This window comes from Homo sapiens, chromosome 1 (assembly GCF_000001405.40).
Source record: "Homo sapiens chromosome 1, GRCh38.p14 Primary Assembly".
Taxonomy (NCBI): domain Eukaryota; kingdom Metazoa; phylum Chordata; class Mammalia; order Primates; family Hominidae; genus Homo; species Homo sapiens.
In genome coordinates this window covers 219,499,577-219,514,452 of record NC_000001.11, presented here as the reverse complement: position 1 = coordinate 219,514,452, position 14,876 = coordinate 219,499,577, and the positions used below count along the sequence as shown (strand labels likewise).

General features: G+C 37.5%; 1 long non-coding RNA gene across 1 annotated transcript in view, besides 1 other annotated feature; it reads left to right on the top strand.

The window, feature by feature from the left end:
- The window catches only part of LYPLAL1-AS1 (LYPLAL1 antisense RNA 1), a 122,167-nt gene that overhangs the window by 42,872 nt on the left and 64,419 nt on the right, over window positions 1-14,876 (top strand). The window lies entirely within an intron of this gene.
- Window positions 11,771-12,970: an enhancer, noted in NCBI's record as "CDK7 strongly-dependent group 2 enhancer chr1:219674825-219676024 (GRCh37/hg19 assembly coordinates)". NCBI's record gives its function as "activates an origin of replication core promoter dependent on BRD2, BRD4, P300/CBP, MED14 and CDK7 cofactors, with strong dependence on CDK7, by STARR-seq in HCT116 cells {active_cell/tissue: HCT116}" and the evidence as "EXISTENCE:reporter gene assay evidence [ECO:0000049][PMID:35650434]".

The window sequence follows — 14,876 nt, the reverse complement described above, 5'->3', positions numbered from 1 at the left end:
GCCTTAAACAAAAAAGAAAAGACAGCTGTTGCATGTAACCTTGAAGAAGAATAAAAAAACAAACAAAAAACATTAAGCTCCTCAGAGAGAAACAGGCTAGGTAGGCAAAGAACAGACCAAGGATGTGGCCTTCCAAACCAGGCCTCTTGGTTCAGAAGACCTAAAAGTAGCTGCCATTAAAGTAAGAAAGAAGTGTGTGTTAAATAATGAAATGAAGCAAGAATTAGAGCTATGCTCACAAAAAAACTTTAGTTAGGTTGCTAACACATGGGACTAATTATGAGCAAAGGTATCTTAAATCTATGAATTTTTTGAGGGAATTCTATTTTCAAAGAAATAATTGCTTAAGCTTTTACCAATATGCAGGACATCAAAATTGTATAAGCAGAAAGTATGATATGAAAGTTGTACAGTTGCTAACAGAACATGGTTCCCACCACCTACTTTAGATATGGTCTTGAAGGATAACGACGTAACAAAAACTTAGCAATGTCACTGGGGATGAAGGACAATGATCAAGAATTCCTTCTAGGGAGCAGAACTAGTGTCAGCTAAGGAACTTCCTCAGCTACCGGAGCAGGGAATTTTCAAAGACCTGTCCAATCAGAATTCCATCATTCCTATGGACAAGTGACTGATGTATTTCCCATTATTCTCTTTTAATTATTTATTACATTTTTAATTTAAAAATAATTTTAGGCTCACCAAAAAGTTGCATGAATATAGAATTTTCTTACACTTCTCATGTAGCTTCCCCTAAAGTTCATATTTTGCATAACCACAATGACAATGATCAAAACTAAGAAGTTAATATTGGTGCAATAGTATTAGCTAAATCAGAAACTTTATTTTGGATTTCACTAGTTTTCCCACTAATGTCTTTTTTTTTTCTGTTTCAAGATGTAATGTGGAATTCTATGTTGCATTCAGTTGTCACATCTCATCTAGTCCCTTGACAATCTGTGACAATTCCTCAAGCTTTGCTTTTCTAGAAAAGCAAAAATTTTCTTCATGAATTTTCCTCCAAAATTTCTGCCCAATACCCTTCAAAAGGGCCAAGGACATAAAAGACCTTTTCAAGGTCTTTTGATAAAGTTTCTTCTATTTGGGTTTGTCTCATGTTTTCTCATGATTAGATTGAAGTTAGTCCGTTTTGGTAGGAATGGCACAGAAATGATTGTCTTTCTCTGTGTTGATACTGAGGGCATATGAAATAAATATGTCTCATTAGTGATTATGTTAACTTTGATCACATGGTCAGAGCACTTTCTGATGGATTTCTCCGCCATAAGTTGCTAACTTTTCCTTTGTAATTAATATGTCTTTGAGATGTTGAGAAATACTCTGAGACTATGCAAATATCTTGTTCCTTATCAAGCTCTTCTCTGATTATTTTAGCATCACTTGGTAGGACTAATGGTGATTTTCATTTCTTCTATATTTATTAATTGAAGTTCTTCATCAGGAAGAGTTCTCTCTCTTTTCACATTTATTCAATTATTTATTCATATCAAGTAGACTAATTGATATTTATTATATTTTATGGGTTATAATATAATATTGAGATTATTTATTTTGTTGCTCAAATTGTTCCAGCTTGATCATGTGGCACTCTTTTAGATTGCTTCTGGATCCCTTTGACATAACTCTTTCCTTGAGGACCATTTCCTTACTTTCTGACACCATACAATGTTCAAGGTTCACCACTGTATTTTCCCTGCCCAGCCCTGGAATGTACCTCTTCTCCAAGGACTTCTAGTTCCTTTTTTTTGGGGAGAATTATGTTTAAAACCAAGAGGAATAGATGTGCTCATTTCTACAAGGGTGTTGTTACTTCTAGACCCTCGCAGTGCACAAAGATTGGAAATATATATATGTATACTAACTCAGGCATGTACATACATCTACATTTCTCTATCTATTTGTATTTATATTTTAAAAAGCATGAGTTGTTACTGATACCTCTGATTCCAGTTCAACACTACAGTGTTCATTCTAGTTTTCTGCCTTTTCTTATTTGTAACTTCTTTCTCTGACAGTGAGAATCCTAGTTCTCATTATCTACCAAATATTCATTTACTTGTTTAACTATAGTACAAACATAAAGTGTTTCAGGAGTGCTAACTCATTCCTCTGAGAGAAGAAAATGTACTTACTGGAATTTAGTATCGTACAGTTCTTTTAGTCTTTAGTCTTACAGTATCCGATCAAAATACTGATTTTCAAAGTAATTCAGGTTAGTCCCTTTCTTCCCTACCCTCTTTAGCAGGGTCATGCTATTCATTTGTAATATAGTTACGTTCATTTGTTAAGTTTGTAGTCCATTTTGGGTCCTCTCACAACATCTTGGTTGGTTCTTAAAATTTTTTACATATAATAAAATTTGCTCTTTGTAGTATATTGCTCTACAGGTCCTGACAAGTACATAGTTACATATCCACTTTTATAATCATGATATAAAACAGTTTTATCAACCCAAAAGTCATCTTTACTGATTTTTTTCTAAGCAACCCCTCTCCACATCTCCTACCTCTGAAAACCACTGTCTCATTTTCCATCTGTAGAGTTTGGCCTTGTCCAGAATGTTATATTAATAGAATCATAAAGCATTTTCTATATCACATCTTAGGTCTGGCTTCTTTCACTTAGCAGAACGCTTTTTTTTTCTTTTTCTTTTTTTTTTTTTTTTGACACGGAGGCTTGCACTATCGCTGGGCTGGAGTGCAGTGGCATGATCTAGGCTAACTGCAACCTCTGCCTCCCAGGTTCAAGCAATTCTTCTGCCTCAGCCTCCCGAGTAGCTGGGATTACAGGCACCCACCAACACGCCCGGCTAATTTTTTAAAAAATTTTTAGTAGAGATTGGATTTCACTATGTTGGCGAGGCTGATCTCCAACGCTTGACCTCGTGATCCACCTGCCTCGGTCTCCCAAAGTGCTGGGATTATAGGCGTGAGCCACTGCGCCTAGCCCAGAATGCATTTTAAGATTCATTTATGTGGTTGTGGGCATAAATAGTTCGTTCCCTTTATTGGTGAGTAGTATTCCATGGTATGGAATTATTTTATATTAGCCATTCAAATAGACGTGTAGTCATATCTAATTGTGGTTTTTATTTGCATTTCTCTAATGATTAATGATGCTTATTTTTCATCCATATATCTTCTTTGGTGAAGTGTCTGTTTATATATTTTGTTCATTATTAATTGGGTTGTTTTCTGGTTAGGTTTCGAGAGTTCTTTTTGCATTCTGGAAACAAACTCTTTGTCAGATAGATGACTTGAAAATATATTTCTCTCATTCTGTGTCTTGTCTTTTTATTCTCTTGACTGTGTCTTCACAGCATAAAACTTTTCAACTTTGAAAAAGCCCAAATTATTGTTCTTGTTTTTTTAAATGAATTATACCTTTGTGTCATATATGAAAATGCATTGCCTAACCCAAAGTCAAAAAGTTGTTCTCTTATATTTGCTTCTAGAAATTTTATAATTTTATGTTTTATATTTAGGTCTATGATCCCTTTTGAGTTAATTTTTATATAAGATTTAAAGTACTCATAAGGTTCTTTCTTTCACATATAGATGATATGGTAAGCAGAATTCTAACACAGTCCCCTCAAGATTTTCCACCCTAATTCCTGGGACTGTGAATACGATGAAATAATACACCCTGATTATGCTACTTTACAAGGTATAAAGGATTATGTGGATGTCATCAAGGTTACTAATGTGTTGATTTTCAGGTTTCTCAACAGGGAGGTTATCTGTGTGGGACCAATCTAATAGTCAGGATCTATATTATACAAACAACCATGTGAACTTGGAAGCAGATTTTTTCCCAGAGTCTTCAAATAGGAGTCCAGCCAAGCTGACAGCTGTATTTCAACCTGATAAGTTCCTGTGAATACGTGTATCGTTTCACTAATACCATACTATTTTAATTATTGGATATTCATCTTGCATTTCTGGGATAAACACTGCTTGGTTAAGATATATTAACCTGAGGCCGAGGCGGGCGGATCACGAGGTCAGGAGATCGAGACCACGGTGAAACCCCGTCTCTACTAAAAATACAAAAAATTAGCTGGGCGCGGTGGCGGGCGCCTGTAGTCCCAGCTACTCGGGAGGCTGAGGCAGGAGAATGGCGTGAACCCGGGAGGCGGATCATGCAGTGAGCCAAGATCATGCCACTGCACTCCAGCCTGGGCGACAGAGCGAGACTCCGTCTCCAAAAAAAAAAAAAAAAAAAAAAAAAAAGATATATTAACCTTTTTATATTGCTGAACTTGATTCGCTAATTATTTGGTTGAAAATGTTGTGTCTATGTGCATGAGGGATATTGGCCTGTAGTAAGTCTTACAGCAAGTCTTGAAATGGAATAGATTCCTTTAATGTTGTTCTTTTTCAAACGTGCTTTTGCTATTCTAGTTTCTTTGCCTTTCTATATACCTTTTAGAGCCAGCTTGACAATATTTACAAAAAGGCCTGCTGAGATTGCATTGAATGTGTAGATTTAATTGGGAGAGAAGTGAAAGCGTACTAATATTGAGTCTTCCAATTTATGAACAAGTTATATCTCTCCATTTATTTAGATATAATTTGCTTTTTTGATCAGTGCTTTGTACTTTTTAGCATTTAGATCTTGTACATTTTTAATAAATTAATGCCTAAGGATTTAATTTTTTGGGTGCTGTTGTAAATAATACTTTTATCTTTTTTTTTCAAATTCCCACTGTTTGTTGTTAGTATCTAGAAATACAGCTGATTTTTGTGTATTGACCTTGTTTTCTGCAACTTTTATAAACTCCCTTGTTACTTCATTACCTTTTTTGTGGATTCTTGAAATTCTCTATGTCCACAATTATGTTGTCTGTGAATAGAGAGAGATTTTTCAAATATGTGTACACTGTATTTTTTATTGCATTATTACACTGATTAGGACATACTGTATGACGCTAAATAGTTTCAGTGAAAGAGGACATCCAGACTCTCACCAGAAAGTTTGATGTTAGCTGCAAGGTTTGTGTGTGTGTGCCTTTTATCAGGTTAAAGACATTCTTTTTTTCCTAGTTTGCTGATCTTTAAAAATCATTAATGTGTTGATTTTTTCCCAAATACCTTTTCTCTCTCTCTCTCTCTCTATATATATATATATATAGACATGATTATATGATTTTTTTATTTAGTCTGTTAATATAGTAAGTTACACTGATTGATTTTTAAAAGTTGAACCAGTCTTGTATTTTTGCAATAAAGACTATTTGGTCATGACATAGTAACTGTTTTATATATTGATGGACTTTGTTTTGCTAAAGTTTTACTGAAGATTTTTGTGTCTATGTTCATGAGAGTGAGGGATATTGGCCTGTACATTTCTTTTTTGTGTGTTATGTTTTTGGCTTTGATGTTAGGGTAATGACGGCCTCATAAAATGTGTTGAGGAGTGTTTTTTCCTTATTTTTCAGAAGAGATTGTTTATAATTGGTATTATATCTTCCTTAAATGTTTGATGAATTAACTGGTGAAATCACCCAAGCTTGGAATTTTCTTTGTGTAAAGGTTTTTAACTACAAATTTAATTTCTATAATAGAAGTAGGATTATTCAGGTTTTTTTTTCTTGAATGAATTTTGGTAGTTTGTCAAGGAATCAGTTCATCTCTTCTAAATTGTTGAATTTATAGGCATGGAATTATTTGTAGTATTCACTTACTATTCTCTTAATTTCTGATAGGTCAGGGTTATATCTGTTTTTTCATCCCTGTTGGTAAGTTGTAATCATTGTGTTAGCCATACCCAACAAATTTCTAAATTTTATTGCATAGTATTTTAATTACCTTTCAGTTTAAAGTATCTTAAAATTTTCTCAAGACTTCCTCTTTGAATCATAGGTTGTTTGGAAGTGTGTTCTTTAATTTCCAAAATTTCAGAGATTTTTTTTCAAATATCTTTGTTATTGATGCATATTTTAATTTCTTTATGATTCAAAAACATGCTTTGTATAAATTCTATTCTTTTGAATTTGCTAAAGTTTGTTTTATGGCCCAAAATATAGTCTATCTTGCTGAATGTTTTGTGTTCAATTGGAAAAAAAAATGTATCTTTTACTGTTGTTGTAAGTGTCACGTTTTACATAGCTTCAAATTGAAAGTCTGTTTAGTGTTTATGCTGCTCAGCATTTTGGTACTGTGAGCTATAAAGATAAAAATGTATATCTTTTGGCTAAGTTTACAGTTTGTGGAAGGAGCAAGCACAGTTAGTGAAGGAATACTATAATATAGGGAAAAGGAAAGATGCTCTTCTCAAAACAGGTTCTCTGACTCAGTGTGACTCTATCAGGTTTTGCCTGCTATTCTGGCTCTGGTTTTTCCATAACTAGGGATACATAACCTTAACCTGACACTGAGGCTTGTACATGGCCTTGGATCAATTCCGACCTAAGGTGACAGCGGGATTTAAGCAATTTTATCCATCAATGATTCTGAGCTTCAGGTCTTCTTCACTGCTGTCAGTTATTGCTTCCAGGAGCCCTAAATTCTGGTAAAGGTCCACTTTGCTGAGAGTCTGTGATCACAACATACTTCAACAGAACCCCAGATAAATCCTAATGAGATGTCTACCACAGAAAGTAGACTCTGCAGAAACTGCAATGTCTTGAGTCAAATAATTAACTTGGCAAAGGCTTCTCTGCTCTAAATACTAGCAACATCTCTGAACAGCAGACGGCATTTTAGAGTGATACATCTGGAAAGTTGCAAGCACAAAAATACATCTGTTTCCGTTGTTATAGAAAGATAAACAGGACCAGATTCAAGACACTGTGGGAAAAAAGTTCTTGCCTTAGTCTGCTTACTGTTTACTGCCTTTCTGGAAGCAAAAATGTCACAGATGTGTCAAATGGTGAGCACAAACTGGTATACAGTGCAGTCATCTCAAATGTTTCCTGTGAAGAATAAAAACAAGACTGCATCAACATGACAGAAAAAACACTCAGCTGATTTTTTGTTTATTTATATTTGCCTACATTATATCAAATTCAAAAACATCAAGAAAGTCATATTTAGCTTTGTATTCAGGCTCTTTGAGCCATTTTGTTTAAAAATGGGTTAATTATCCTTTTTAATGTTAGTCTGGTTACAGATATATTTATGATTTTCTAGCTTTCTCATGATGAACTATATGAGGTTGATTAACAATAGATTTATCTAATGCTTTCTTACAGCATTTGATATTTTTAACCCACACAATATCTTGGAAGTAATTTGCTACTTGCTAATTGAAGAGGTATTTACTTTTATTTGCCTAAAAATGACTGATCTGACTGTTTTTTTGAGTGAATTAAGTGAAAGTTTTGGCATGCTGGAGAAGTCAGAAGTGGCCAAATGATCTAGAAGAACAACATCATTTTTTTTCTTATGGGGTCAAATTATGAGCCGCTTGTCTCCAAGTGATCTTTCAAATATTTTTAGCCAGAAGCCATCAGATAAATGGAGATACTGGTTCACACTGGACCTTTTTGGAAGAGAGAATGAACCTTCCTCATAGTTACCTCTGTTGGCTTCACATTGGCCAAGTCCAGATTGAGGATCTATTAGTCAAGTCTGACAGGAAAGAACACAGTGTATCCTCGGTGTTCAGGGTGATGTATGGGCATCTGATAGGGTATTTGCTTTCCCTGACAAATCTCAGCACCTGCTTTCCAGCCAGGATTGAATAACCAAGGATCTGTGGGTGCAGGAGGAGGGGCTGTTATTCAAGTGCTGGATTTGTGTTAAACCTAGGATCAGTGGGGCCTAATGAATCTGCCATTGGAGGCATGCCCCAGTGAGACGCAGAACTGCTGGCTACCAAGAAAACCACGTGCTGTTCCCCTTGCCTGAACAGCAGGGCTTTGAGCAAACGCCTCATAAAACCCAGGGACAGCTAGACCTGGGGAGGTATGTGTGCTTGAAGGCCCTCATGATCATTTTTCCCCCTTTTAAACTCTGTTCAGCATGTTGACCCCCTGCTTTTCCTTGCCATGGATTCAGAAGAGATGAAAGCCAGTGGGTTTTTCACCAGCAGGGTAAATAAATGAGGACTCAACTTAGAAAAAGGACAGTCTTTCTTAGGTTTTCTGGCACAGCTGCTGAGCATTCGGCATTAAATTGAAAGAGAGTATAAGCGACGCAGAAAATATGATCAAGATCACCATAGGCAAGCAGGGATTCCTTTAAAGGCATGGATAGTCTTGTATGGAAGATTTCACTAGGAGGGGAACACTTCTCAACTAGACCCAAATCGTCTGTCCTATGGCCCTGAACCTTTTTTAAATGTACATCCATATATTTACTTATTTGTGGGAAATGCTGAAACCACAAAGTTCCTGTTTGCTCTATTTCTTAGGCATAAAGTTATTCTGTGGTCAGAGACACCTAAGACCATTAGACACGCACACTACAGATCTGAAGAAGGGCTATTTACCCGAGCTTCCAGGAAAAATATTGACAAGGCAGTAAAAATACTTTCCTTGATTACTCAGCCTTGTATTTTAAACCTAAAATTACAGGAACTTTTCTCTTTTAGTCATTTATTTTTAGCTTCTCTATTTTTCCACCTTTTTGGGTTTTTTGGGCTCACCTTTTAAAAAATGGTGTATTTATACTGACTGCAAATCGAGGAATAGCAAACTCTTCAGAGTGTTGTCACTGTTTTCTTCTGACCAGTTTTCAAGCTACTTGGGGACAAGTGAATCTCAGCTTCTGGAGGTAAACGGGAAAAGGAAAATTTGTTACACAGCTGAAAGAAACTTCAAAAAGTTCTTTAGTGCTGGTTTTCAGGAAAGTCACCATATTAACCATTCCTTAGTTCCTTATCTTTGACCAATGATCGGAAATAGTTACGAATCTGAAAGAGAGAAGTTGAGTTTGACTATCAACATCATACAGAGCGACCTCATTTGACTTCATTATGCTATTCCAGAAACAAGAGATTCGCACCATTTGGTCTTCCCTTACATCTCCACTCCATCAACTGTACCCCTACATGGAATTAGACTATATATTTATTTGATTATTTGTTATTTGTCATTTTCACCAGATTATAAACTACAGGAACCAGGGGGCTTCTCTCTATATCCCTGTCTTGTAGAAAAGGGTTGAGCACAGAAGAGGTGCTTTAAAATGCTTTTATTGTTGAATGAATACGTCAAAGTTTTGTCAGTTGACTGACATTTTAAAATTTGATCTAGTTATTCATTTACAACATCCAATGCTCATTTCTTTTGAATTTCTCATCTATAAAGACTTCCCTTTTTTCCCTGAATGCAGAATGTCGGATAGGACTTGCCACAATTTGAGAAAATTGCTCACAGAAACAATCAATGAGACTGAGTCTTGCCTTCGAGTTCCTCCTGAATAAACCTACATAATTTTCAAAGCGAATGAATGAATCATGCCTACACTGTCAGCTTCTGCTGAGTCCTCTCAAGTGTTAGGTACTATTTTTACCACTTCTGCCTGGGGTCCCCTAAAGTGCTCTTGCTGCTTTGACCTGCCAGTTTGTATTTTATATAACATTGCCTACTTTATATCCTGCCATAAAAATACATACACTTCTGGCTAAACAGCCATTCAGAACACACAGTGTGCTTTGACTAAGATAAAATAACATTTGGTCACCTGGCAATGACACACACAGTTGCCTCCTCCTGGAATGGATAACTGATACTCAAGAGAGAAAGATGTCTAGTTGGATTGGGAGGAAAAGTGTTGCCACTTAGCTTTGGAAACCCTGAAGATAAACTTGTGCAAAATGAGCCAATGCCTCATTAGCTATTAGGGATTTAGGCACATGGCAGATTACTCACCTAAAACTTGTTTTCTAGGTAACAGAATCTTATGTTTGGAAGAGGCCTGAGAGGCCAGACCACCTTCTTCCTAACATTCAGCAAAGTTTTGGCTTTCTCCTCTCACTGATAGTTGGTTACGCTTGGAGAGTGCCAAGCTCAGGCAACATAATTAGGAAAGTAAATCTACTGCTGCGAGAATTTAATGCAAGCTTATAAACTCATTCCAAAGATAGGTAGATGTCTGTGCCATCATCATTGTTAAGGATATCTGTCCAACTACTCTTACGCATAGTAGACATGATAAGGAGTTGACAATACTTAAATAGTAATGAGGAACATTTATGGGGCATTTAGGATATGACATATGCTGTTCAAAGTGTTCCAAAGCCTTCTCTGACTTCTTGCCATAATATCTAAGGTAGATGCTCTTATTATCGTTCCCATTTATAACACTGGAAACGAAGATTCAAATAAGTTAATTTTGCCGCCATCACCAAGATTTGAAACCAAAGAGCTTTCTTCAGAACCCACCTAAGGACATTTCCAGTCCTGACAATGACTGAGAAGTTGTTTATATGGCCTGTGAAATACCTTACCAAAATGACTCATTTTCATTCAGCTTCTAAAATTTGGCCGCTTCTCTATTTTCAAATCCACAAATATTATATTTTCCACGAGAAACCTCAGAGGTCCCATTTCTGGCTCAGAAGAGGGTTAATACACACTCCACCCAAGAGTCTCCCAGTACTGGGCTTCATTCATTTTCCAAAATATAGCATGTTCTGTTTATTAGTCTGCTCCTCATCGTTAAAGGAAACCCACACATCAACAGTTAGCTGAACCCCAGCCAGGCAGTGTTGCAGTGACCTTGACCTCATCGCCCCCTTGAGCTCTTGGACTTGATCAATTCACAGAAACCAAAGTTCTGTCATAGAGGCTTCTGACTAAAACAAATGAGGGTGTTTCAGCAGCCTGCTTTTGCAAGGAATCAACTGCTCTCTTCTGAAATGTCTCTTGACATTCATTTACCAAACATTAAAAATAAAAGTTTCCAGGAGAAAATGAGTGGAGTTTTTTTGAGTTGCCGATTTATTTGATGTGCAGATAAAAGTGGCATACGTCCTATGACTTGAGGAATGTTGAGGTGAGACCTTGGCCCCAGTGCCTCTCCCTCATGCCTCTGCCTGCTGCCATTAGAGTTTCATGCCTTAGAGATCATTTGCGTCTGCCCTGAAAATCAAAATGCAAACAAAGGGGGCTTCTGTCAATCTCTAACATCCTTCTGTGATTCAGTTAATCCTTCAAGGAATTCAGTTGGTCAGCACAAGTCATAAGAATTGGTAAAGTTTGGTCTGGAGAGAGAAGAAGAGAAGGAAAAGGCACATTTGGCTCAAAGGAACCAGACTGGTGGATGAGACCTAGGAGAAGTTGGCAAGTGGAGACTTGGGACAGTCAGCACTCCCGAGGAGGACACTTTACACCTGAAGGAACGGAATCTTAATACCCTGGCTTTAGACCTCTCCTGGTAGGCTTTCTTCCCAGTCTCAGTCCCCACCACCCTCAGGGCTAAGTCTTTTTGAGTTATGACCTCGAGCGTATGAAAATGGAAAGGTGGCAGTGAAACTTTGTTAATTTAAGGAAAAGATAGGTAAAGGGGGTGTTCCCTTATGCTAGGAAAGATAAGTGCTTATAATGTAGCAGATAGCAAGCACTTATTGTTATGGAATGGGTAGATGACCATCATGGAATGATTAATGGAATAAAAATGAACTCGATTCATCTTCAAAAGACCCTCTCTTAATTTACATGAACATCTATTTGTCTATATTTATTTACTGTGTGTTTTAGTATTCCTTGAAAAGAGAAAAGATTATCATCCAGCTAAGGGAATAGAAGGAAGTACCTCTTAGAGCCAGAAGAAAGGCCTATTGATCTCCAAAGTATTCTGCTATTTACAAAATCTGGACAAATGGGAACTCTTTTTCATGTGATTTGGTAATGGCATGGCCGACCTTACCAAACCCACAGTTCCACACACCAGGTGGTTTCCTGACTAATTGTGATAGAAGAGTTTTTGTTTGATATGTCTAGCATACAACATACCTGGCCCATAGTGAATTTTTAATACTTGTGATTTGAATGAATCCATTCATGGGCAAATAAGTCCCTTATTTTGGGGCCTACATCTGTGGGGCTGACTGACCTTGAACTTAATTGTTTATAACAGGTGGAAGAAATGAATGGCAGAGTGCTGTATATTGTTGGTAAAGATGTCCACCAACAATTCTTCCCATCTCCCAGCATGAATGACAAAGCTCCTGTCAAGCAGTAGAGTCTGATGGGCTTATGACTTGTGCTGACCAACTGAATTCAGTGAAAATGATTTTCTGGTGCCTCTGAGCTCAGACCTTGGAAGGACTTGCAACTTTTGTTTTCTTCCTTTTGGTATCTAGGTGTCAATGAGAAAAGCTTGGGTTAGACTTCTACATGTAAAAAGAGAGAAGCCCAGCCAGCTCCCAGCCAGCTCCCAGCCATTCCAGCCAATCCAGTCGAGGTGCCAAATATGTGAGTGTATTATCCTGGGTGTTTCAGGCCTAGCTAAGCTCCTAGCTGAATGCAGCCACATGGTTGACCCCAGTTGACACCTCATGGAAAAGGACCCAACTGAGTCCAGCCAACCCACAGCGTCAGGAGAAATAGTAAATTATTGCTGTCTTAAACCCTACATCTAGAGGTAATTTATTAAGCAGTGATAAATACCTGAAACCCATAGTAACCCAGACTCACCAAGCTCAGAAGCACTTACTTCCCTATGGGGCAAGAGTCTTTAGTGATGCCTCTTGTGCTGTGTATATTTTGTCCGTGTTGCAATTTGTGTCTTCCTTGCAGATCAAATGGTTGCAAGTGTCACCAGGGATTGGGATAACTGTAAAGGCCTTATTACCTGGGATTTAGTTGAGTGGACTCCTGCAATGGGAAGAGCAAAGATAAAATATGCCTAAAGAGGCAGGAGGAATTTATAGCAGTAGAGTCTGACTAATAGTTGGCTGTATCAGCGTCCTGACTTAACTAAACAACTATCCGCAGATACTATTAAACGGAGTAAAAAACAAGGATATATGCATATTATTTTATGATTTAAAAGTGCTTTGGGCCAGGTGCAGTGGCTCACGCCTGTAATCGCTGCACTTTGGGGGGCCAAGGCAGGTGGATGGCCTGAGGTCAGGAGTTCAAGACCAGCCTGGCCAACATGGTGAAATCCTGTCTCTAGTAAAAATACAAAAATTAGCCAGGTGTGGTGGCAGGCACCTGTAGTCCCAGCTACTCAGGAGGCTGAGGCAAGAGAATTGCTTGAACCCAGGAGGCGGAGGTTGCAGTAAGCCGAGATCCTGCCGTTGCACTCCAGCCTAGGCGTCAAGAGCAAAACTTCATCTCAAAAAGAAAAAAAAAAGTGCTTTGATGTGCCCTGCGTCATTTCATGCTCATCTCAAGCCTCTGATATACTTTTAAAAGACACTCAACTTTTATTGAGGTGCAATTTACATAAAATGAAATTCTCACACTTTAAGTGTATGGGTTAAAGACTTTTGACAAAATATATACACTTACGTAACTCCACCTGAATCGAGATGTAGAACATTTTAATTTTTCCAGAAAGTTACCTCATGTCTTCTTCATTCAATAGTCTCCACCACACAACCCAGGTAACCATTGATTGAGTTTCTGTCACTATAAGACAGTCTCGCCTCTTTTAGATTTTCTCTTTCTTTCTTTCTCTCTCTCTCTCTCTCTTTTTTTTTTAAGACAGGATCTCTCTATGTTGTCTAGGCTGGTCTCACACTCCAGGGCTCAAGCAATCCTCCTGCTCCAGTCTCCCAAAGTGCTGAGATTACAAGTGTGAGCCACTGTGCCTGGCTCTATTTTCGAATTTCATAACAGAATGATATCCTATGTCCTCCTTTGCTCCCAGTTTCTTTCATCCAGTGTAATGAATGAAAGATTCATCCATGCTGTTGCATCAGTCAGCCCTTCTTTTGAGAAAGGGCTTCTTTCTCTGATTCTATTGAGGTCGAAACTCAAACTCAAAGAGGTGGGCGATTTGTCTGAAGGTCTCAGCTCACGAGTAGACCAACTAGGACTCCCACATTGATTTTATGCTTCCTAAATTACTTACCATGATGCTGCTCTTGGTGCTGAACTGAAAGGAAGAGAGCATTCACTCTTACTTTGCCAAACAATCATATGATGGAGGCATACGGAACATGAGGAAAGAGCATATTCTGATAGTCTGATGCAAGGATCACTTTACGGCTTACAGGATGAGCACCCGATATAGCCAAACCGATCAGAACCCTTTGCCTGGGTATTTGAATAAAGAATAGGGTAAAATCTTTTTTGTTATTAAAAGCTGTTAGCTATGATGCTTTGATGCTTAGGACTGGCCAGAAGGCATGTTTCTTGCCTTGTGGAGGAAATTTAAAGAAAGAAGTTGACATACAGAGAAAAGCAACATAAGAGACACAGAAAATCCTCACTGTTTGAAACTCTGGTTGCATTTATTTTTGAGGGCTAGCAGCATTCTCGTCCTTCCAGTGAATTGGTTATTTAACCCTTCATTTGATAATGTGAGATGCTTCATTATCTATGAGTAAATTTCCTCTAAGTTAATTTGATTAGTTTTCTATCACTTGCAATCAAAAGACCGCTGAGTAACATATTTCACTTAAAAGAATTTAACTGGAATTAGTCATTTGCATAATGTTGCCACATCTTGCAAAAGACCCTCAGTTTTCTTAGTAACTCAAGTTAAATATGCAGCATCGGTATTGTGCCAGGAAGAATGAAAGCCTGGTATTTACCTTTTCAAATAATCTTTGTTTCCATTTGGCATATACAGAGGTTGAAATATTAACAGTGCTTCCCAGGAGAAAACCTAGCTCTGTAAGGCCTATGGGTGATAAAACGTATTATATAAATACACTGTGTTCAAGATCAGCAAATTCTATACATTTTTTTCCCCACTGGGAGCTACTCATTTTTATGGAAAATC